This window comes from Homo sapiens, chromosome 3 (assembly GCF_000001405.40).
Source record: "Homo sapiens chromosome 3, GRCh38.p14 Primary Assembly".
Classification (NCBI taxonomy): Eukaryota; Metazoa; Chordata; class Mammalia; order Primates; family Hominidae; genus Homo; species Homo sapiens.
The window spans coordinates 48172772-48197284 of record NC_000003.12 but is presented as its reverse complement, the minus strand read 5'-3'; the positions used below and the strand labels follow the sequence as shown (position 1 = coordinate 48197284).

At 45.9% G+C, this 24513-nt stretch overlaps 1 protein-coding gene, 1 non-coding gene and 2 pseudogenes across 8 annotated transcripts in view, besides 3 other annotated features; 1 reads left to right on the top strand and 3 right to left on the bottom strand.

Moving 5' to 3' along the window:
- Positions 531–1060: an enhancer, noted in NCBI's record as "H3K27ac-H3K4me1 hESC enhancer chr3:48237715-48238244 (GRCh37/hg19 assembly coordinates)". NCBI's record gives its function as "activates a minimal SCP1, AML or CMV promoter by ChIP-STARR-seq in primed H9 embryonic stem cells {active_cell/tissue: H9 hESC(primed)}" and the evidence as "EXISTENCE:reporter gene assay evidence [ECO:0000049][PMID:30033119]".
- On the bottom strand, positions 669–721 carry MIR4443 (microRNA 4443). The gene has a single exon (NR_039645.1). It is a non-coding gene; the product is annotated as a microRNA 4443 (primary transcript).
- The window catches only part of CDC25A (cell division cycle 25A), a 31272-nt gene continuing 15626 nt past the window's right edge, over positions 8868–24513 (top strand). The window contains exons 1-10 of one of the 7 annotated variants that reach the window (XM_047449364.1): positions 8868–8915; positions 9070–9507; positions 10506–10582; positions 12590–12632; positions 13449–13485; positions 14258–14356; positions 16445–16564; positions 19297–19431; positions 19843–19914; positions 22828–23001. In XM_047449364.1, the coding sequence (XP_047305320.1) occupies positions 9338–9507; positions 10506–10582; positions 12590–12632; positions 13449–13485; positions 14258–14356; positions 16445–16564; positions 19297–19431; positions 19843–19914; positions 22828–23001 (927 nt within the window). In that variant the 5' untranslated portion in view covers positions 8868–8915; positions 9070–9337. Of the gene's footprint in view, positions 9508–10505; positions 10583–12589; positions 12633–13448; positions 13486–14254; positions 14357–16444; positions 16565–19296; positions 19432–19842; positions 19915–22827; positions 23002–24513 lie in introns of all 7 variants that reach the window. The other 6 variants (XM_047449363.1, XM_047449366.1, XM_047449365.1 and 3 more) reach the window with 6 other exon arrangements.
- Positions 9155–9783: an enhancer, noted in NCBI's record as "H3K27ac hESC enhancer chr3:48228992-48229620 (GRCh37/hg19 assembly coordinates)". NCBI's record gives its function as "activates a minimal SCP1, AML or CMV promoter by ChIP-STARR-seq in naive H9 embryonic stem cells {active_cell/tissue: H9 hESC(naive)}" and the evidence as "EXISTENCE:reporter gene assay evidence [ECO:0000049][PMID:30033119]".
- Positions 9202–9411: a silencer, noted in NCBI's record as "silent region_14323". NCBI's record gives its function as "represses an Ori minimal core promoter by ATAC-STARR-seq in GM12878 lymphoblastoid cells {active_cell/tissue: GM12878}" and the evidence as "EXISTENCE:reporter gene assay evidence [ECO:0000049][PMID:35858748]".
- NDUFB1P1 (NADH:ubiquinone oxidoreductase subunit B1 pseudogene 1) lies at positions 15489–15808 on the bottom strand (annotated as a pseudogene).
- Positions 16896–16957, bottom strand: RNU7-128P (RNA, U7 small nuclear 128 pseudogene; annotated as a pseudogene).

Here is a 24513-nt window from a genome sequence, read left to right as displayed (position 1 = left end):
GTTGCGAGGTAGGGAGGTAAGTGTTGGTAATGTGTGGGGATGTCTTCCCAGGAAAGAGCATTGCTTCCTGTACTCACTGTCTTCCACGGCCAAGCCTGAGCTCACATGAGTGGGGTCTTGATCCCCCTGAAGATGACAGAAAGGTATGAAGGTGAGGAAGAGGAGTAGCCCTGCAGCACCTACCTCGCTGCTCACTCCCGGAGGCTCTGAGTGTACACAAGGGAGGGAGGCCCAGGCTGCACTCAGGAGACCACCAACCCAGCCTGAGACAAGGGGCAAGATCCTTCCCATCTATGCATTCCTGTTTCCTCCTCTGTGAAATGAACACGGGGGCTGCATTGGATGAAATGGAAACTTCTTACAGTGTGTTCTATGGAACAGTGGTCTGCAAAATTCTCTGTGAAAAGGGTTCCTCATGCAAGGAAGTATGTGAAACCTCCCTCCTGCTGTTTCTTGAAGACTCACAATACACCACTTGCTAAAGGCACTGAGTAATGCCACAGAAAAGGAACCTGTTTCACTCTGATTAACCCTGATTTCTTCAAATCTGTTCCCATTTTCACAGAACATACAAACATCCCAGGAGGCCTGGGGCATGCCTTGGAGTCTGGATCTTAGGCTGGAAGGATTGGAATGGGCCTAGCCCCAACTCCTTCTGGGGCAAGCATTGCTCAGGGCTAGAAAGGGATAGGTTCTAAAACCCACGCCTCCAACCCCCACCATGCCATCCCTTTATCCTTCCCCATACTGCACTTTGCTTAATATCAACCAGCCATCAGCAGGATGGTGCAAGAGGCTCTAACTCAACCAGGACAGGAAGGAATCCAGGAACAATTCACCTACCAGAGGCCCAAGGATTGAGAAAGGCCGGGACTGAGCAAAGACAGCACAGGTCCAGCTTGCGCAGGTCTCCAGCCCCCTCCCAGCCCCCAGCACAGGGTGTTTCCTCTCCTCTGAGTCTGTTCTGTGCAGGGGCACAGCACCCAGGTATAAGCTGTAAGGAGGGCTCAGATGCTGCCTAGGAACTCTGCCTTCCAGAAGGAGGGCCCCAGGAAACCTCACAAGAAAACTTAGCCCTTTGAAATGAAATCCTCACCCGATTCCAGAACCTATTATGGCTCCCTACCACCCCAGTGGCCTCCGTTCACTGCCCACTGGCTCTGACCTAACTCATCATCTCCATCTACCGGGGAATCACCTTCCACAGAACGTTAAGGTTGGACACCACTCAAAGCAGTGTTCAGGGCCGAGCACGGTGGCTCACGCCTATAATCCCAGCACTTTGGGAGGCCGAGGTGGGCGGATCACGAGGTCAGGAGATCGAGACCATCCTGGCTAACACGGCGAAACCCTGGCTCTACTAAAATTACAAAAAATTAGCCGGGTGTGGTGGCGGGCGCCTGTAGTCCCAGCTACTCGGGAGACTGAGGCAGGAGAATGGCGTGAACCCGGGAGGCGGAGCTTACGGTGAGCCGAGATCGCGCCACTGCACTCCAGCCTGGGCGACAGAGCGAGACTCCGTCTCAAAAAAAAAAAAAAAAAAGCAGTGTTCATGTGTGTAGCGTCATACACTCAGTAGTGTGTGTCAGTAAAGAGGAATGAACTAACCATAGATGCAGAAACACAATTAGCACAGGGGTGGGGTGAGGGGGACAGTGAGGATTAGCAACACCTCGAATTTCTTTCTTTTTTTTTTTTAAATATTGAGACGGAGTCTCGCTGTTACGAAGGCTGGTCCGGAACTCCTAGGCTCAAGTGATCCTCCTGCTTCAGCCTCCTAAAGTGCTGGGATTAGAGGCATAAGCCACCACACCTGGCCAACCCCAGGAATTTCTCCGGTACATTTTATTTCAACCACTATCTCTACTACTTACTCTGTTTTCTCTTGCTGATGCCTCTGTGTGGGAGACCTGCCAGGGGCCATTACTCCCATTTTCTTTTCTTTTCTTTTTTTTCTGAGATGGAGTCTCACTCTGTCGCCCAGGCTGGAGTGCAGTGGCGCGATCTCCGCTCACTGCAAGCTCCGCCTCCCGGGTTCACGCCATTCTCCTGCTTCAGCCTCCCGAGTAGCTGGGACTACAGGCACCTGCCACCACGCCCAGCTCATTTTTTTGTATTTTTAGTAGAGACGGGGTTTCACCGTGTTAGCCAGGACGGTCTCGATCTCCTGACCTCGTGATCCGCCTGTCTCGGCCTCCCTAAGTGCTGGGATTACAGGCGTGAGCCACCGCGCCCGGCCATTACTCCCATTTTCTAGAGGGGTACAACTGAGACCAAGAGTCGTCAAGAGGCTGCCACAGGCCAGGCTGGCTCACACCTGTAATCCCAGCACTTTGGGAAGGACAGGGGGGTGGATCACTTAAGCTCAGGAGGTTGAGGCTTCAGTGAGCCAAGAGATTGCACCACTGCACTCCAGCCTCAGGTGACAGAGTGAGATCCTGTCTCAAAAAAAAAAAAAAAAAGAGTCTGCAACATAAGATAAAGGGCCAGCTGAGACCAACAACACAGGTGTAAGGCTCCTGGCCCTGAGCATGTCCCACCTTGCAGAAGGCTCTGGAAACATCCCAGAAAGAGGGGTGTATTTGGTTTCTCACACGTGTGCTAAGCTTTATTCTTTTCTACCAGCAACTCTCAATTCGTTCCCAAATAATGGTCTCCTGGGAATATAGTGCCCTCCGGTGGCCTTCCTGGGTGCTACATCAATGCCCTCCGATGGGAAGAGTGGGATGAAAAGTCCTTCCTCAACCTTCTGGGAAGAGAAAAGAACCCTAGGAACCCACCTCACCACCCCAAGCCATAATCCAGTCTATCTTCCATGGGGAAAAGGAGGGGAGGAATGATGGCTTCTCAGAGACTCTTTCTAAATCCACTGCCTTCAGGATAACATTCAAAGTCTTATTCTTTATTCACTCCACAAACATTTCTCCTTGTCGCCATGAGCCAGGCTTTATGCTGCTGCTGGGAACAAGGGACCATAGTGCCCCGAAGGAGCTCCCAGCTCCTGCAGGAAGTCCAGGGCCGGCCTCTCCTGCTATGCCTGGATGCCTGCTTCCCACCTTCAGAGGCCAATAGCTTCCCTCCATCATGACCTCTCCACGGCATCATTTTTTTTTACTTTTTTAGGAGCAACTGGAGAGAGGAGGAAAATCTGAGAGTGGTGCTCTGAAAACCTAGCAAAGCGAATGTTTCTAGGAGTGGCCAAGCATGCAGTGAGGATGATGGGTGGCTGCTGGGTGGAGTAAAGCTAGGACTGCAAATTGGTCACTGTATTCAGCAAAATGAAGGTTCCCGGAGAATTTGACAAAAGCCGTTTCCACCCTGGCACAGTGGCTCATGCCTGTAATCCCAGCACCTTGGGAGGCCAAGGCGGGCAGATCACTTGAGGTCAGGAGTTCGAGACCAGCCAGTGAAACCCCATCTCTACTAAAAATACAAAATTAGCCAGGCGTGGTGGCGGACACCTGTAATCCCAGCTACTCGGGAGGCTGAGGCAGGAGAATCACTTGAACCTGGGAGGTGGGAGGCGGAGGTTGCAGTGAATTAAGATTGCCACACTCCAGCCCGGGCGACAGAGTGAGACTCCATCTCAAAAAAAAAAAAAAGCCACTTCCATGGAGTGGGGAAAATCAATGTCTGATGACAGTGGGTCCAAGAGAAAATGTGAGGAGAGAAATTAGAGACAACTTTTTTGAGGAGTTTTACTGTGTTTTGTTTTTTGGGTTTTTTTTTTTTTTGAGAGGGAGTCTTGCTCTGTCTTTCAGGCTGGAGTGCAGTGTCCTGATCTCTGCTCACTGCAATCTCTGCCTCCCGGCTCAAGCAATTCTCCTGCCTCAGCCTCCTGAGTAGCTGGGATTACAGGCGCCCACCACCATGCCTGGCTAATTTTTGTATTTTTAGTAGAGATGGGGCTTTCTTTTCTTTTTTTTTTTTTTTTTTGAGAGGGAGTCTCGCACTGTCACCCAGGCTGGAGTGCAGTAGTGCCATCTCCACTCACTTCAACCACCGCTTCCCAGGTTCAAGCAATTCTCTTGCCTCAGCCTCCCAAGTAGCTGGGATTACAGGTGCCCACCACCACGCACCACTAATTTTTTGTATTTTTAGTAGAGATGGGGTTTCACTATGTTAGCCAGGCTGGTCTTGAACTCCTGACCTCATGATCCACCCATCTCGGTTTCCCAAAGTGCTGGGATTACAGGCGTGAGCCACCATGCCCGGCCAAGATGGTGTTTCACCGTGTTGGCCAGGCTGGTTTTGAACTCCTGACCTCGGCCTCCCAAAGTGCCGGGATTACAGGTGTGAGTCACTGTGCCCGGCCAGGAGTTTTACTGTGAAGGGAAGGAATGAATATAGTTGGAGGGGAAAGTGGCATCAAGGAAAGGCTTTTTATCACTAATAATAAACATTTCATTGAAATACACCATTCATACAGAACAGCTAACAAATCTTGAGTGTGTAGCTCAATGAATTTCCACAAGGTGAACACACTCAGGTAACCAGCACCCAGATCAAGAAATGGAAAGTGGCCAGGTGCAGTGGCTCATGCATATAATGCTAACACTTTGGGAGTCCAAGACGGGAGGATCGCTTGAGCTCGAGAGTTTGAGACCAGCCTGGGCATCATAGTTAGACTCCCGTCTCTAAAATTATACATATATTTTTTTCTGAGACAGAGTCTTGCTCTGTTGCCCAGGCTGGAGTGCAATGGCATGATCTCAGTTCACTGTAACCTCCGCCTCCTGGGTTCAAGTGATTCTACTGCCTCAGTCTCCCAAGTAGCTGGGATTACAGGCGTGTGCCACCACACCCGGCTAATTTTTTGTATTTTTAGTAGAGACGGAGTTTTGCCATGTTGGCCACACTGGTCTCGAACTCCTGACCTCATGATCCACCCACCTCGGTTTCCCAAGGTGCTGGGATTACAGGCGTGAGCCACCATGCCCAGCCAAAATAAAAAATAAAATTTTTAATTAGCTAGGTTTATGGGTGCATGCCTGTAGTTCAGGCTACTCAGGAAGCTGAGGTGGGAGGATCACTTGAACCCAGAAGTTCGAGGCTATAGTGAGCCATGATCATGTCACTGCACTCCAACCTGGGCCACAGAGCAAGACTCTGTCTCAAAAAGTGAAAAATAAATAAGAAACAGAATATGACCAGTTGCCAATATCCCCTTCATGGCCCCTTGCAGTCACCACCATCTTTCTGAAAGGTAACTAGTACCATAACTAACTTTTTTTTTTTTTGAGACGGAGTCTCGCCCTGTCACCCAGGCTGGAGTGCAGTGGCTCAATCTCGGTTCACTGCAACCTCCACCTCCTGGGTTCAAGCAATTCTCATGCCTCAGCCTCCATAGTAGCTGGGATTACAGTTGTGCACCACCATACATGGCTAATTTTTGTGTATGTATATATGTGTGTATATATATGTTTGTGTATATTACATGTGTGTATATATGTATATTACATATGTGTGTATATATGTATATATACATATATATGTATATGTATATATACATATATATGTATATGTATATATACATATATATGTATATGTATGTACACATATATATGTATATTATGTATATATACACATGTATGTATATTATGTATATATACACACATATATGTGTGTGTGTGTATATATATATATATTTTTTTTTAGTAGAGATGAGGTTTCACTATGTTGGCCAGGCTGGTCTCGAACTCCTGGCCTCAAGTGATTCGCCTGCCTCAGCCTCCCAAAGTGCTGGGATTACAGGTGTGAGCCAGACCTAAACAGCATGTTCTCTTTTGTGTCTTCCTTCTTATGTTTGACATTGATGTGAGATTCACTCCTACTGTGGGTAGCGCTTCTGTCCTTTTCATCACTGTATAAAATAACTTTGTTCTATTTACCCATTTTATTGTTGATGGGCATTAGGGTTGCTTTCTGTTTGGAGCTAAAATGATTAACATGGCCATGAATATTTGTGTACATGCATTTTGGCACACTTGAACTGTATTGTAGCTTCTGTGCCAACTTTTCCCTTCCCATGGCCTTCTGTGGCCACCTCCTCGCCTTCCTACATGATTTCCATAGTTGCCTGTGACCTCATTCTGGCCACCTTCAGTGACTCTCCTGGGTGCACCTCTGAACTATGGACTCGGCTACTCCCTTGTGGTTTCTATCTCAGCCCCAGCTTTGCGGTCCTGTCTCACTACATCAAGTCCTCAATGCTGGTGCTCCCCAGATCCAGGGTCCTAAAAACCCTTTGTACATCCTCAATGGGCATTACCATCTTCATGCTAATCAACACCAAATCTGCCTCCTGACTACACCCCCCAGCCAGTCCACCAGCACAAAACTGAGCTCATCAAATTCCTCCAAGAAGTATGCCTCCAATTGTTGAAATGTTACATCCACCCAGGTACTTGAATCATTACCTAAGAATCATTCTAGCCTCCTCCCTTCCCTCTAGCCCCCTACAATCTTAACTCTCAATTATCAAAATCTGATGAGATCTACCTCCTTCAGGGCTCACAGAATCATTCCCTTCCTTTGTCTCCAAGGCCCCCACCTTGCTTCAGAATCTCCCAGACTTTTGAGACAGCCACCTCCTTTTTCCTCAGGCCTCCCCACTCTCCTCCACTGATCCACCCTAAAGCAAATCTGATCCGGTTATCACACACCCTCCACTGTCCACAGGATAAGGCCAAACTCTTCAGCAAACTCCAATCCTTTCAAGAACTGTCCCTCACAGCCAGTCCCATGTGCCCATTCTAGAACCGACTGGATCAACTCAGGAGTAGCTCCCGGCAAGTACGGCGTTCCTCCTCACCTCCTGGCTGCCGAGGGCCGTTTCCTTAGAAAGCACTTCCCACCAGCCCCAAGCTCCCCTTCTCCAGCAACCTTGACCTTTAGTTTTAATCTCCTTTAGGACGTGCCCCCCACCGTACTGCCTTCCCCAGTCCCCGCCCCTCCTCTAGGTGCCCACCATCCCTCCACAAACCACAGCTATTGTCATGGTAATAATTCCATTATTAGAAGGAGCTTTATGCTCAGCGGACCAGAGCTCCCTGAGAGCAGGGATTGTGGTATTATTTCAAGCACTGAATTTGTTCTAGTAATCCTTAAATAAACATATGTTGAATGAATGAATGCAGTAACAGGAATGTTGAGCCAAGTTTTGTTTTTGTTTTTTGAGACGGAGTCTCGCTCTGTTGCCCAGGCTGGAGTGCAGTGGCTCGGTCTTGGCTCACTGCAAGCTCCGCCTCCCGAGTTCAGCCATTCTTCTGCCTCAGCCTCCCGAGTAGCTGGGACTACAGGCGCCCGCCACCACGCCCGGTAATTTTTTGTATTTTTAGTAGAGCCGGGGTTTCACCATGTTAGCCAGGATGGTCTCGATCTCCTGACCCCGTGATCCGCCCGCCTCGGTCTCCCAAAGTGCTGGGATTACAGGCGTGAGCCACCGCTCCCGGCCTGTTGAGCCAAGTATTAAACCACATAAAACACAGGAGGAGAGGAAAGTATTCAGAGATACGACAGGGAGAACTATTTGAAACAGTGGGACCACAGACCATGTGAACTGTGCAGAGAGGCCTAAATAGCCTGGGGTTTCTGGAGGGAAGGGAGGTTCCTGGGTGGTGGAGCACTGGTGCACAGAAAAGGAGATGAATCCTGAGAGAGAGGTTCCTCACTGTGAAGGGTCTGGTGTTGGGGCCAAAGGTTTGGGGTTTCCACCTGTCCAGCATGGCTTTTCAAACTGTAGGGTTTTTTTTTTTTGAGTGGGGGGCAGGGGGTGTCTCACTTTGTTGCCCAGGCTGGTCTCAAATTCGTGGGCTCAGGCAATCCTCCCACCTCGCCCTCCCAAAGTGCTGGGATGATAGGCGTGAGCCACTAAGCCCAGCAGTAGGTTGCAATTAAATCATGCACTTATGGCCCTCAAAATCCGTCTAGGAGCTGCCACAGGTTCGGCGCTGTAAAAGTAAATATGCCCACTTAGAAAATGGGGATAATTCCTATGTCACAGAGTTGTAAAGATTAAATGAATTAATACAGATTAACACACTGGGAACAGTGTCAAGTGCATAAGCATTATGTAAACTTTAGCTATTATTTGCTATTATTGTGTTTGCTGTTATTTCTCTCTAGGAGCTCCCAGGGGGCTAAGAAGTGGTGGGAAAGAAAGAAATGATTCTAAGAGCATCCAATAAGGGCTAGAATGGAAGTGAGCAAAAAATGCTGAGGCCCACAGCACAGGTTGTACTGCGGGGTTCAAATCCCATGAGGCCAGCAGCACCCAGGGTCTGTGAGCCCTCCAGAGTTGGGCCCTGGTGGTCGAGTCCAGTCCTGGGGGTCATTGCATTCCCTCCCTCATTATAAAATGGGGCCTGGAGGCCCGGGGCGGAAGAAAGGGGTCCACAATACTGCACGGTTAGAGGCCGAGCCAAGGCTGGATCCGGCCAGACCTCCACAGGTCTTCCTTAGCCTCCACATTGCCTCAGAGTGTGGGGCGCCCGGCTGGGGGCGAGGTAGCGGAGGCCCAAAGGGGGCCGAAGCTAACTGGACGGCAGCTCGCGATGGGAACTACGCTTCCCAGCATGCGACGGGGCAAAGGGGCCTTTCAGCCGCGAGCAGCGCCTCGCAGGTTCTGCTGGGAGTTTTCATTGACCTCTGCTCCCCCTCTCATTTTGATCCCCGCTCTTCTGCTCTGGGCTCCGCCCCCTTCTGAGAGCCGATGACCTGGCAGAGTCCCGCGAGCCGCTTTCTTCTTCCCCTCTCATTGGCCCAGCCTAGCTGCCATTCGGTTGAGAGGAGGAGAAGTTGCTTACTGATTGGTGGATTCCGTTTGGCGCCAACTAGGAAAGGGGGGCGGGGCAGCAGCTGGCCCCACTGAGCCGCTATTACCGCGAAAGGCCGGCCTGGCTGCGACAGCCTGGGTAAGAGGTGTAGGTCGGCTTGGTTTTCTGCTACCCGGAGCTGGGCAAGCGGGTGGGAGAACAGCGAAGACAGCGTGAGCCTGGGCCGTTGCCTCGAGGCTCTCGCCCGGCTTCTCTTGCCGACCCGCCACGTTTGTTTGGATTTAATCTTCAGGTTGCCGGCGCCCGCCCGCCCGCTGGCCTCGCGGTGTGAGAGGGAAGCACCCGTGCCTGTGGCTGGTGGCTGGCGCCTGGAGGGTCCGCACACCCGCCCGGCCGCGCCGCTTGCCCGCGGCAGCCGCGTCCCTGAACCGCGGAGTCGTGTTTGTGTTTGACCCGCGGGCGCCGGTGGCGCGCGGCCGAGGCCGGTGTCGGCGGGGCGGGGCGGTCGCGGCGGAGGCAGAGGAAGAGGGAGCGGGAGCTCTGCGAGGCCGGGCGCCGCCATGGAACTGGGCCCGGAGCCCCCGCACCGCCGCCGCCTGCTCTTCGCCTGCAGCCCCCCTCCCGCGTCGCAGCCCGTCGTGAAGGCGCTATTTGGCGCTTCAGCCGCCGGGGGACTGTCGCCTGTCACCAACCTGACCGTCACTATGGACCAGCTGCAGGGTCTGGGCAGGTAAGGAGAGACCGGCGGGCGGTGCTCCGGGCCCCTGGCCTCGGTGTCGGCCTCGGAGAGATCAGGCCAGGAAACGGACCGGGAGAAGGGCGAGACCCGTCCGTCCGGGTTCGCCGCTCGGGGACAGCCGGGCTAGGGCCTGCCATGTGCACCCCCGCCCGGGCGGAATGTTGGGCGGGAGAGGCCGTCGGGACCTTCCAGGGGAAGAGGTGGAGATCCTTGGGCCTAAGCCCGAGCCAGGCCCACCTTCACCCCTTTCGGATTGCTCCGTACTCTCCTTCTATCTCTATCCCTGGAAGCTCTTTGGAATCTACCCCCGCGGGGAAAATCAGGCTCTTCTAGGCACTCACTTTCACCCTTTGCTAAACCATCCTCAGGATCTTCGTTTGCTGTGATCTTTGTTCCTTCTCAACAAAGGACCATGGCATTTTCTTTCCTGGCGTTTATGTAAAATCATCTCAGTCCCTCGCCCTGTGCACATTCCTGATGTCCACTCTGCTGCTTTCCTAAGGCCAGGTCTTTTTACCCAACTTTCAGAAAGCTTCCTGGGCTTTTCCTGATAGCAAAAAATGCATCCCACGGTGTTTCCCGCGGAAGAGCTACTTTCCCTTCAATCTCTGGCATCCCGTTTGCTAAGCACATGTCTTGTGCGTTTCCCAACTTCTGAAAAGCAGAAAGTGTCCTGTTCAACTTTCATCCCGACTCTGTCTCAGTACTTAGAACACATGCTTTTATTTTAGGAAATACCCCAACATTTGCCATAGCCATCATAACCTGCAATGTGGTCCAAGGCCATGCCCACCCACTCCTTTTTTCTCCTTTGCCCAAGTGCTAATTGGGTGTTCAGAGTGGCAAAGTGGGATCTTTGCCACTTGTGGTGTGGCCTAGAAATGGTTTCTGGCAGCCTGGCTGCTTCTTAATCTCATGGCCTATCTCCTGCATGTGACCTTTTAATTATATCCTATAAATCATTCATGGTTTATTTCTGTTGGTTTCAGTGATTATGAGCAACCACTGGAGGTGAAGAACAACAGTAATCTGCAGAGAATGGGCTCCTCCGAGTCAACAGATTCAGGTATTTAAGTCTGCTGTGTGGGGAGCAATACTCTGAATTTCCTGAAACATGCCTTTTCACCCAGGAGGTTAGTTTTGGTGAGAACTTGAGGAAGTCATGGCATTGGGTGATAAACTTTTTTTTTTTTTTTTTTGAGACAGAGTTTCGCTCTTGTCGCCCAGGCTGGAGTGCAATGGCATGATCTCAGCTCACTGTAACCTCCACCTCCCGGGTTCAAGTGATTCTCCTGCCTCAGCCTCCCGAGTAGCTGGGATTACAGGCATGCACCACCACACCCGGCTAATTTTGTATTTTTTAGTAGAGACAGGGTTTCTTCATGTTGGTCAGCCTGGTCTCGAATTCACAACCTCAGGTGATCCGCCTTCCTCGGCCTCCCAAAGTGCTGGGATTACAGCGTGAGCCACCGCGCCCGGTGATAAACATTATTGAGAACAATACAAAGGAGCCCTTGTGGCTGTTTATGAAGAAAGGAAATAGGTTTCAAATGTCTATAAGGAGGTGGTGTGTGCTTGCCCTTGAAGGATGGGTAGTAAAGTATAATTCACCATACCACTGTAAGTGGCATTCAGGCAATCTTACTGGTTAAAATACAGGATCAAATGATTGGAAGTACAGTGTCATGAAATCATTTCAGTGATGCTGCTATGGAGGAAATTGCCAGTGCATTTCATTCTTCATGAATTCATATTACTGCAGAGTTTATCTGTATTTGTACAGATAAGACCATTGGTGCAAAGATCCTTTAGGTTAAAGGAACTGCAAGAGCAAGTCTTAAAATGTAATGTAGGCTTCTGTATGTAGAATGTAATTTAATATAGAACTGGGGATAGGATTATCACTTGTAGCAGTGTGGTGAGCAAGGGCTGTAACACCTCACTTTCCATAAGGCTGTATAGACACATGAGCTATGGGTGGGTGGGTCTGCGTCATCTGAGCTGGCATATTAGTAATGCTGAACAGTGTCTCCTTCACCCTGCTGCCTTTTGTGAGATGGACACCTTGGTGTCATTTTGTTAAAGGCAGCAAGTGCTTGCCTTGCATGTCATGACCAGTAGTTGTATTTTTCTTTTTCATTTTGAGACAAGGTCTCAACTCTGTCACCCAGGCAACTCTGCCTCCCAGATTTAGAGAATTCTTCTGCCTCAGCTTCCCTAGTAGCTGGAATTACAGGTGTGGGTCTCAAACTTCTGATCTCAGGTGATCCACCCACTTCGACCTCCCAAAGTGCTGAGATTACAGGGGTGAGCTACTGCACCTGGCCTTTTTTTTTTTTTTTTTTTGAGACAGGGTCTTGCTCTGTTTTCCAGGTCTCAGGCTGGTGTACAGTGGCACAATCAGGGTTCACTGTAGCTTCAACTTTCCGAGCTCAAGCGAACCTCCCACTCCAGCCTCCCCAAGTAGCTGGGACTACAGACACGTGCCACCACACCCAACTAATTTTTTTTTTAACTTTGGTAGAGTCAAGTCTCACTATGTTGCCCCAGGCTTGTTTTGAACTTGTGGCCTCAAGCCATCAGCCTGCCTCAGCCTCCCAAAGTATTGGAATCACAGGTGTGAGCCACTGTGCCTGGTCAGTAGTTGTATTTTTCAAGCCTCATATGATTTGACAAGGTAAAACGTTTAAAAACTATGCCAAGAAAATCTGGTACCTATTGTTTCTATGGTTGGAACTCACAGAAAGTTATCTGGGTCACCTCTATCTGAATAACCAAACAATCATGATATGAATCAGTTTTATTCACCCTCTTCTCAAATCCTATTTCCCTTGATGTTATTTGCAAATAGGAGAAAAAACAGTAAATACGCTATGAAAATATTAAGACTTGTACAAACATGACATTTTTGACAATCTAATAGACGTAACATCAATTCTGGCAAAAGTACAAGCCATGAATATTTGTTGCCTGACTTAAATAAAGACCCAGGTACTTTGTTTAGTGTTTTAATTTTAATGACAAAATGGTGTTTTTTGTATTATTTCTTGAGAGGTTTTTTTTTTCCCCATAGGTTTCTGTCTAGATTCTCCTGGGCCATTGGACAGTAAAGAAAAGTATGTATTCACTGCTTTCAAATGTTTATATGTAGAAAAAACGTGTCTAAACTTAAATACCTTATTTAAATGAAGTTCTTCATACACTGGACTGGAGCCCTGGATTTACCTGTGCCTAGAAACACTCTGGAATCTCAAGAATGAATAGTTTGTGTCAGCAATTTTCAGAACTTTTTCTCCTTTATTTTAGCTATAATTTTGGTGTTCTGTTTGGGTCTTACCCAAACCCTTACTCTGTGCTCTGACATCATAGCCTTACAAGAACATGTGGGGTTTTTTTGTTTGTTTGTTTGTTTGTTTCTGAGGCAGAGTCTCACTCTGCCGCCCAGGCTAGAGTGCAGTGGCTCACTGCAACCTCCACCTCCCAGGTTCAACTGATTCTCCTGCCTCAGCCTCCCGAGTAGCTGGGACTACAGGAGTGCACCACCACACCCGGTTAATTTTTGTATTTTTAGTAGACACGAGGTTTCATCGTGTTGGCCAGGCCAGGAGTTCGAGACTCCTGACCTCGTGATATACCCTCCTCGGCCTCCCATAGTGCCCATAGTGCTGGGATTACATGTGTGAGCCACCGCGCCCAGCCGAATGTGTGTATTTTAAGAAAAGACATGGGTTTGTTTTTTTTCACCTAGAAGTCTAGTGTTGGGGGTGCTCCTGAGAACAGGACAGCTTCAGAAATTTATTCTCCCATCTCTTGCCTAAAATGGGAGTCTGTGACTGTACCCCCAAGCTACAGGCTAAACACTATCTCTCTGCTAATATGAATACCTCTTTACTTGTTTTATTCTCATTATTTACCTTCTGATCTCATTACAGCCTTGAAAATCCTATGAGAAGAATACATTCCCTACCTGTAAGTTAGTTCCTTGTTTATTTTGAGCTAATACCTGTTATCTGTTCCTTAGCTACCAGCATGACCTTGATAGGAGACTTAATTTAGAGAGTAAAAACTGCTTTTCTTTAGTCTCTTTTGAGACAAGGTCTTGCTCTGTCACCCAGGCTGGAGTGCAGTGGCAAAATCTTGGCTCACTGCAACCTCTGCTTCCCTGGCTCAAGTGATCCTCCCACCTCAACTTCCAGAGGAGCTGGGACTATATATAGGTGCACACCATCACACCCGGCTGATTTTTGTATTTTTTGTAGACATGGGGGTCTCACTCTGTTGCCCAGGCTGGTTTCAAACTCCTGCCTCGGCCTCCCAAAGTGCTAGGATTATAGGCAAGAGCCACTATTCCCAGCCTTTCCTTAGTCTCATAAGTACTCAAGATGTTCGGTCTGGAGGAATTTGTCCTCCATCTCTAACAGAGCTTTATTAAACCAGGAAGGGTTCTTTTGATGCAAATGTTATTTGGGGATTGATTTGGCACTGTAATCCCTGTTGAGGGGGGCACTGTAGACCTTGTGAGGTTAGCTGTAAACCCATGGAATGGAAACTTCTATGCTGTGTCCTGGCTGTGTCCTGGCAAGGTGGATTCCTGGCCACATTTACTGGTTACCTACTGCAGTGTGTGAGGAGCTAGTCTACCCCCTATTCAACCCCCCTTTTTTTTCTTTTGAGAACTGAATTTTCCACTGAAATTTTATTTGTGTGCCTTAATTATTTTCCTTTTTTACTTTGATAGCAGAAGCTGTTGGGATGTAGTCCAGCTCTGAAGAGGAGCCATTCTGATTCTCTTGACCATGACATCTTTCAGCTCATCGACCCAGATGAGAACAAGGAAAATGTGAGTGTGACTTCAATGTACTAACCTGAGGCAGAGGTGAAACCCACAGGCTGTCAGTGGCTTAGAAGTGGCTGGGCTGCTTTCTGGGAGACTAAACTTGGCCATTATGTGCGGTCTTTGGAGTCAGAGAATTCTGGGTTTGGATCCTGCTTACTAGCTGTGTGATGTTGGCAAATTCTTCTCTTTTTAATCTTTGCTCTTTTGTAAAATAGGAGTAGTAATACCTTTTAGGGATGTTGTGGCAATAAGTAAGATTATGTATGAAGTATTGAAAATGGTGCCTGACAGGCGGGAGTTGCTCAGATTGTAGCTCACAGGAGTAATTACATGTACAAATAGTGTTTGTCTGGAAGGCTCTGCCCAGGCTGTCCTTGCCTCTTTGCTCTGACCCTGAAATGAATTGTAAGCTTAGGAAAAGGCTCTTTGGCAGTATTTGTAAGAACGGGGTCAACAAGTTCTAGGGAATCTCAGAGTAACTGAAATGGTGGCTTGGAAGGTGAATTTCTGGTTATCTACCCTGAATGAGCCTGGCTTTTTTGTTCTTTTAGACATTGCACAGAGTAGGCATCCAAAACAGTTGTAATTTTTTCAGCCTTCTCTCTACTGTATTTCTATATATTTACTTTCTCCCCTTTTCCATTCCTGCTGAAATGCCACAGTTCATAATCCTTGTCCTTACAATCTTCAGGTTTAGTGTGAAACCCACTGCCTCCATGAACTCTCCTGATGATTTCTTTATCAACCTGGGAAGTGTCATGAGAAAGAATATGGAAATGAGTTCCAGCCTTGAGTGCTTGGAACAGTGTATCAGCCTCTAGTGCTTTTTACCAGGGCAAAGCTGTACTGATGCCTGGTTTTCCCCCGAAATAGCTTCTCAGGGTTGCTTGCCTGGAGCTTTGTTTTAAAGGGAAAACAGCATAGATGGTGGTTAAAGAGCTCTCACTCTGGAGTTGTCCTGTTTTACTTCAATATTTTGGGCACATTCCTTAACCTGCAAGGTCTAGTTTTCTCACCTGTAAAATCGGGACAATCAGGTTGTATTTGATGGTTAAAAAGTTAATGCACAGAAAGTACTTAGTACTGTGTTGGCATAGAAATCACTGTAATATTAGCCATTACTGCTTTTTTTTTTTTTTTGATTCTTCATGGTTTTATTTCTCTCAGAACTTTAAAATGTGAACATTCTATAATTCAGCCAGTCTTTACTTCCAGGTAACTTCTTTATTGGGTCGCAATACCCTTTTAAATAACATGCTCTTGTTCCGGAAGGTAGTTAGCCGTTCATCACTCTTTCTGTCTAAATAACATCCAGTGACAAATCCCATAGGGACAAGAACATGAACCCAGTGGTCCCGCACAATCTGAAGTAAGTTCACCATGATAGCTGCAGCCTCAGTGCCGACCGCGACCCCGAGACCAAGGGCAACGGGGAACTCAGCCACCCACGCCAGTGCTAGCCATTACTGCTTTTAATACTTAATTATGAGTTCTTAAGTGAATATTTTAGGGCAAGGGACCTGTGAGTGTTTTCATTCCATAAAGTGGAATCATACGATATGTATTCTATCATATCTGGCTTTAAAAAACATTATGCTTGTAAGAATCGTCCACGTTGAGTAAACCAGTAGGGCTTTTTTTTTTTTCATTGCTTTTAGTATAGAATAGAATAATTATAAGTAGAAAAAATTATCTCCAGTTGGTAGGAAGAGGTGGAAAATATGAAGCCCTGAAACAGATGGACCTAGATGGAAAATTTTGACAACTATTCACAGGCAATTATATTAGATTTTATTTATTTTTGCTTTAGATTTCAGAAAGTTTGTGATTTAGCTTATTCATCGTGTTTTGTATATTTGGCAGATACTTGTGTTAGGAAATACAGTATGACAAGAAAAAGATGTTACTTTAGAAGTTAGCTGTTGACAGAGCCTTGGAAATTCTTAGTTACGCAGATCTATTGTTGGAATTAGGTGAAACTTTAATTTGGAGGCAGAAAGGTGATCAGTGCCCACTTTCTTGCCTCTTTCACCCAAGCTGAGGCCTGAGTTGGTTTTCATGGACAGTAGATGTCTCAACTATGTCTTGCAGGAAGCCTTTGAGTTTAAGAAGCCAGTAAGACCTGTATCTCGTGGCTGCCTGCACTCTCATGGACTCCAGGAGGGTAAAGATCTCTTCACACAGAGGCAGAACTCTGCCCCAGCTCGGATGGTATGTGCTCTGGCTTTCATAGGGGAATTCCTGACAGGAAGAAAGGATTAAAACACCTTCTTTCATCCAGAATTGAAGGCACTACAGTAGCACTAGCTGTTTTTACCTTGACTTTGTCTTTTGAAATTAGACTGTCAAGCATTCTTGGTGGTTTTGCTGTGTCTGGAGAACAGACAGGCGGTAGTAAGAGTGGGAGATGGTGTTTGAAATATTGGAGTTGTGCAAGGAATAATCGACCTTGTTAATCTGGGAAATCCTGGGTCATCCTAAATGTATGTATGGTGGGATTATATCTCTTCCTATTTTTTTCTTTTTTTCTTTTTTTTTTTTTAAGGGCTTTCTGGCAAAAACCGGAAAGCCTGCGAGACAAATTTTAAAAGAGCCGTAACACTAGATCTCTTACTTAAAACTTGGTCTTTACTATGCATTCTAAGTGCTTCTCAAGGAACTGGAGAGAGAGCACTTGACTTCTTCCAAAGGTGGTTTGTTAAGAACAGTTATGGGCCAGGTGCCATGGCTCATGCCTATAATCTCAGCACTTTGGAAAACTGAGACAGGAGGATCGCTTGAGTCCTGGGCAGCATAGTGAGACCACATCTCTATTTTTTTTATTTTTAATTTTTTTAAAGAACTATTATGGATTACAGTGAATGCTCAGGCTGCTGGGCAGTTTTGGGGTCACTCGTTTCAGGGCTATGTATTTGCCAGACAGGGACTGTCATTACTTCCAAAGTTTCCTGCTGTTGGTCTGAATTGGATTAACTGATAGCATCTATAGATTGGAGAGGCCCAACTTGAGCAAGATGACCACATTTGGCTTCCAGGTTTACCTAGGATCTTAAATCTGAAAATATACCTTTCCAATCTGCTTTGTGTTCTGAGGTTCAGCCAGTATTGTTACTCTGTCTATCATTTGCACAAAGCACTTTTATATGTTCTTGTCTTGTGAAGTGGAGTTAATCCACTTGAACAGATTAGGAAAGTACCACTAGAGAGGTTTGGATGATTTACCAAAGGATATACATAAGTAGGAAACCAGGATTTAATGATCTCTGGCTGGGTGTGGTGGCTCATGGCTGTAATCCCAGCACTTTGGGAGGCCGAGGTGGGAGGATCACATGAGGTCAGGAGTTCAAGACAGCCTGGGTAACATAGTGAGACCCTATCTGTACAAAGTTAAAAAATAAGCTGAGTGTGGTGGCTTGTTCCTATAGTCCCAATTAGTCGGGAGGCTGAAGTGGGAGGATTGCTTGAGCCCAAGAATTCGAGGCTGCAGTGAGCTATGATCAGACCACTGTACTCCAGCCTGGACAATGAATCCCTGTCTCAATAAACAATCTCTAAATTCCCAAGTACACAGTAATGCTTTAAGAGTTGGGTATCAGAAACAATATATTTGGTGTGTGCTTAGCGACTAGAGCCTGTATCACATCTGCACCTAGGAATCCCAGAACATACCTCACAAATGTTGGTGTGATATAGTGTGAGCTTTCGTGATAAAGGTACTGCCCCATAATAAAGTTATCTACCCCTAGGCTAAAAAAATTTGCCATTTCCCAGAGTGTGCACTTGGGGAGGACTAGAGACTGCTCAGAACTTGTTTTATATTGTGAAGCAAAGCTAATGCCAGAACCAGAATAGGCCAGCTGCAGAGAGGATTCCTTGGTGCATGATCCACTCAGAAAATCAGAGGGCCACTTAACTAACAACAGATTCATACCCCAAAGAGATTTGGATTTTAAGGATTACTTGTAGGTCATAACATTGGGACTACCCTGCTACTGTGAAAAAAATAACTCTAAACTTTTTTTTCTGGATTTGAAAGTGCCTAGAAAATAAATAATTCAGTATTAGCAGTGTTTGTATTGGTAGGATTTATCTTCAGGTGTGGATTTATGAGCAGTTTTTCTAAATTTTCTATATTCCATGTTTAGAGGTTTCCCAAAAAAAGTATGACTATAGGTTGGCTAATGAGGTACCGCCATTTTAATTCCAGGAATGGTTTTCTCCTAGGGAGATAGTGTGGTGAGAAGAGTTTGGATTTTGGAGTCAAACAGATGAGGTGTATAATCTTGGTAACCTCTTAAGCACCAGTTTCCTGATTTGCTAAAGAAAAAGGAAAGGATTAGCTACCTTTAGTGTATTGTGAGGCTTCTATTGGATTATATGTATAAAGATTATATCGTAGTATCTGGCACACAGTAATTCCTCGTTTAAAAACTGAGCATTTAAATCCCAAGTCTAAAGAACGAGGATAGATTTTATAGAAGGAAGTTACCCTTTATTCCCCCCTGTCAGAACTGGAGTTATATATAAGTGCATTCTCTAGGCCATTTTATGGTCTTTATAGAGATTTGCATCTGCTTGCCCTAACTCATTTCAGCAGATTCTCATACTGTCACAGTCCTCAATGCTGATCGGTGTTCACTGATGCAACCTTCTAATAAAAGAAACCTTGTTCTTCACAAGAGGCTATCTCTAGTACCCATTATAAGGTGAATTGCTTCTGGCAAGAGTTCTCTGTAAAGGCTACTGACTACTCAGGGCTGTGTGTGGTCATCAAATCATTTATAATCTTGGGATACATTTTCATATAATCAGTAATGGCTAAAATTTTGCTTTGTATAACAAGTATAACATAGTATGTTTTCATCATAAAAACTAGTGACCCATTCAAGGAAATGAAAGTGGATCAGAGCTCTCATTATTAATCCATGAATTTTGTCTTACAGCTTTCCTCAAATGAAAGAGATAGCAGTGAACCAGGGAATTTCATTCCTCTTTTTACACCCCAGTCACCTGTGACAGCCACTTTGTCTGATGAGGATGATGGCTTCGTGGACCTTCTCGATGGAGAGAATCTGAAGGTACCGTGTGTGTGTGTGTGTGTTCCTATTTGTTCTACTAATTAATTACCTCTGGAGAAGGCATGTGATGTGAAAAAGAACAGCAACAGCAGTTCCCCGGGGCTTGCTTAGCTGATATTTTTGTTCATTTGGTGATAATTCATTTAATAATAGGGCTACCAGCCTTATTAAATCCTTTGGATTGGGGGATGGGGGCATCAAAAGAAGACACATGATCCTTCTTACCCTGAAGGAGCTAACTAACAATCTATATGCAAGAAACATGAAATCAGAACGGTATAGGATGGTACATTAAGGATACTTCCTATCCAGGCCTATCTGGTATTGTTCAGGGAGAAACACACCTAAAGCACTTAAACAAATGTTAGTCTCTACAGGCTCTTTTTAAAATCAGTTTTTCTGTTTCTTTAGAATGAGGAGGAGACCCCCTCGTGCATGGCAAGCCTCTGGACAGCTCCTCTCGTCATGAGAACTACAAACCTTGTGAGTTGTTCTAGTGTGTCTGGAGGAAGCCCTGCGTGATTGGGGCACTGGACAGAGTAGTCCTTAGTTGAGTATAGCCAAAGATTGAAATGCATGATAGGATTTGGGGATCTGGGTTTTAGGCCTCACTTTGGCTACCTACAAATTATGACCTTTAGTCATGATATCTCTCTGCATGTCTCCTGATGTATAAGGAGTGTGGGTTAGGAGGGACCATGGTCATTCCTAGCTTTTACCATCTAGTCAGTTTGAAAAAAGCCTATCTGAAGCCTTTAGCCTGAATACTTTACTTTTTTTAGGTTATTCTCATTTATATTCCACAGAACCTAGCATAAAATTAGACAAGCAACAGTAACTCACAGGATTTTTTTTGTTTCTGTGTTTTTTGTTTTTTTTTTTGAGACGGAGTCTCGCTCTTGTTGCCCATTCTAGAGTGCAGTGGCACAATCTTGGCTCACTGCAACCTCTGCCTCCCAGGTTCAAGTGATTCTCCTGCCTCAGCCTCCCGAGTAGCTGGGATTACAGGTGCCTGCCACCACACCCAGCTAATCTTTGTATTTTCAGTAGAGACGGGGTTACATTATGTTGGCCAGGCTAGTCTCGATCTCCTGACCTCAGGTGATCTGCCCACCTCGACCTCCCAAAGTGCTGGGATTACAGGCATGAGCCACTGTGCCTGGCTGGATGTTTTTTGTTGCTGTTTTGTTTGTTTGTTTTGTTTTGTTTTGTTTTTCATTGAAAATACCTACCTGAGGCTGGGTATTTTCAGGTAGATATTTTCGATTTTAAAAATTATATATAATATATATTTTATATATATATATATATATATATATATACTCACACACACACATACACAGTATAGATTTGTGTTTCCATCAGGGATACTTTCAAACAGAAAGCATAGTATATGTAGATACAGAATCTATAGTGTATGTGTGTATATATATTCAAAATCACATATATATACACACACATACACATGCTATAGATTCGTGTTTTCATCATAGGGATACTTTCAAAGTTAGAAGCAAGAATGTGCCTATACAGATATATACACCTGTATGTTCAGAGATATACACCCTTAGGTACACATCTAAATTGATAAGTTCATATTTTTTAATTCTCAATAACCTGAACTATAATTACAGAACAAATGAGCTACAGTTTTTTTGTTTGTTTGTTTTGTTTTGTTTTTGAGACAGAGTCTCCCTCTGTTGCCCAGGCTGGGGTGCAGTGCAGTGGTGTAGTCTTGACTTGCTGCAACCTCTGCCTCCTGGGTTCAAGTGCTTCTTCTGGCTCAGCCTTCTGAGTAGCTGGGACTACAGGCTTACGCCACCACTCCCGGCTAATTTTTTTGGTATTTTTAGTAGAGACGAGGTTTCACTATGTTGGCCAGGCTGGTCTCGAACTCTTGACCTCAGGTGATCCATCCACCTGCCTCCCAAAGTGCTGGGATTACAGGCATGAGCCACCGTGCCCAGCCAAGCTACAGTTTTGAGATCACTTATGGATTATAGTACATTCATGTGCATAGCTTTTGAGAAAATATGTTAACGCAGTACAAATGTTATGAGTAAATTTACCAGGTCATTTTGATAGGCATAAAATTACATAAAATGTGAGAACACTTTGGAAGTGGCTGTTAGTTTTATAGATTTGATTTTAGAGTCATAAGCATGGGCTTGTAAGCTCTTAATAGTGGGGAAATGTCTTCCACAAATGGTTATTACAAACTAACCATTGCTGGGAGCTGTAATGGAAAATAAACTTCACACAAAAGAGGAAGAAAATCCCCGGTCTCTATGGGAGCAGATGTGGGAGTGATCCATTCTACTGGGGACTATCAGGAAGATTTCAAAGAAGTGACATTGAAATGTTAGCATCAACTTGAAAATGAATGGTTTACTGAGATGTGAAAGGACATTCTGTGCAGAAGGAAAAGCCAGGCCAAGACACATGGAGTCGAGAATAGGCTGAGATGCGTTTAGAGAGCTGACTCTTGCTACCACTGGTCAGATTGGCTTCCCTTGGGCTCTGGAAAATTTGTCTTTATTTATTTATTTATTTATTGAGACAGAGTCTTGCTCTGTCACCCAGGCTGGAGTGCAGTGGTGCAAATCTTAGCTCACTGCAACCACCACCTCCTGGTTTCAAGTGATTCTCGTGCCTCAGCCTCCTGGGTAGCTGGGATTAAAGGCACGCACCACCACACCTGGCTAATTTTTTTGTATTTTTAATAGAGATGGGGTTTCTTCATGTTGGCCAGGCTGTTATTGAACTTGTGACCTCAAGTGATCCCACAGTGTTGGGATTACAGGCGTGAGCCACCGCGCCCAGCCTGGGAAATTAGTCTTTAAAAGACCAAGTAGAAAAAAAGACTTTGAACACAATTTTGAAAGGCATTTGCTACTCTGCCCATCCCCACTCCCTCCAAATTTACCATCTTAACTATACCTTAACCAAAGATGCCCCCATTTTTATTATAACCTGGCTACTGTGCATCTTTTCTGGATTTAAGTGGGGTATTTAAACCCGTTGACCTGCTTAATTAAGCAAGGTGCAAGTAATAAAATGGAGGGGAAGATAGGCAAGCCAAAAATGTGTTCCTGACTGGAAGGTCACACTTCTCTTGACGCAGGATTATGTAGACAGTTTTTGTGAGGGCAAAGGACGTTTTGCTCATCTCTATATAATGTCAGCTGAGTATATATTCATTGAGCACTAAGTGCTCAGTGCCTACTATGTGCCAGGCCCTGTGAGAGTTGCTAGGACTAGATGAATCGGCAGTGTCTGTTGGCTAATTTAGAATTGATCTTAGATCATCCCAGGAAACCTTCGGTTTATTTGTCTTACCATTCAAGTGAACAGGTTTTAATGAAAGATGGGTCTGTCTGTTTTTTTTCCTGTAAGGACAACCGATGCAAGCTGTTTGACTCCCCTTCCCTGTGTAGCTCCAGCACTCGGTCAGTGTTGAAGAGACCAGAACGATCTCAAGAGGAGTCTCCACCTGGAAGTACAAAGAGGAGGAAGAGCATGTCTGGGGCCAGCCCCAAAGAGTCAACTAATCCAGAGAAGGCCCATGAGGTTAGTTTCCTAGGTTCCTTTTTGCTCTAGCACAGATACTGTATTTTTCAGTTCTAAAAATTTCTACTTAGTGGTTCATTTATTTTCTTTGCTAAGATTTGCTGGGGTTTTGTGGGGTTGTGTGTGTGTGTGGGTGTGTGTGTGTTTCTTTTAATAGAGATGGGATCTAGCGATGTTGCCCACGCTGGTCCTGAACTCCTAGCCTCAAGTGATCCTCCTGCCTTGGCCTCCCAAAGCACTGGGATTACAAGTGTGAGCCACCACACCTGGCTGATACTTGGCTGTTTTCATGTTGGTTTTTCATTTGCTTTGAGTATGTTCATAATTGCCTGTTGAAGCATTTTTAAGATGGCTGCTTTAAAATCTTTGTAAGACAAATCCAACATCCATCCATAGTGTTGTTGGCATCTGTTGATTGTCTTTTCCTGTTCAAGTTGGGATTTTTCTGGTTCTTGGTATGACCGGTGATTCTTCCATTGTCTCCTGTATATTTGTGAGTCTCCGGTCTATGTAAATTTTACGTTTTAGCAGGCTTCCTCTGATACTGCAAGAAAGGCATGGGTGGAAGTCCGGGTTCCCCAGCACAAACTCCATTGACACCTTGGGTGGGGACTTGTCTCATTATTGCTGGGAGGGAGTGGAAGTTCATTCCATCCCCGTGGGGTGGTGACTGGGGCACTGTATGACAGCTGGGCAAAGGTGGAGGCCCCCGCTTGCTGTTGGCCATAATTGTTTCTGTGTTGACTAGTAGAATGATTATTGTCTAAAAGTCTTCTGCCTCAATAGGCCATCCTTTGCCTAGGGAGAGCAGGCTTTTCTTGGGGCTTGTTGTGTTGCTGTCTCCAGCTTCATGAGTTGAATGGTTAACTCATTCGTTTTTAATTTTCTTATTTCTGGATAAATCTATTTGAATCTATGAATTTCCCACTGCTTTAGATTTGTCTCATAACTTTTGACCTGAAATGTTTTTATTATCATTTGTTGTAGATATTTTATTTCCTTTTAATCCAGACCTATCATGGCCTATTAAATACTTGATTTTTATAAAGGTCTGTCTTTTTTTTTTTTTTTTTTGAGACGCTCTGTCGCCCAGGCTGGAGTGCAGTGGCGCGATCTCAGCTCACTGCAAGCTCTGCCTCCCGGGTTCATGCCATTCTCCTGCTTCAGCCTCCCAGTAGCTGGGACTACAGGACCCCGCCACCACGCCTGGCTAATTTTTTGTATTTTTAGTAGAGACGGGGTTTCACAGTGTTAGCTAGGATGGTCTCCATCTCCTGACCTTGTGATCCGCCCGCCTCAGCCTCCTAAAGTGCTGGAATTACAGGCGTGAGCCACTGCGCCCAGCCCTGTCTGTCTAATTCTTCAAGTTAATTCATTGCATTGCTCATAGTTGTATAGGCTGTTTTGTTGTTTCCTGTTTCTGAGACAGGGTCTCTCTGTCACCCAGGCTGGAGTGCAGTGGCATGATCTCCGCTCACTGCACTCTCCACCTCCCAGGCTCAAGCAGTCCTC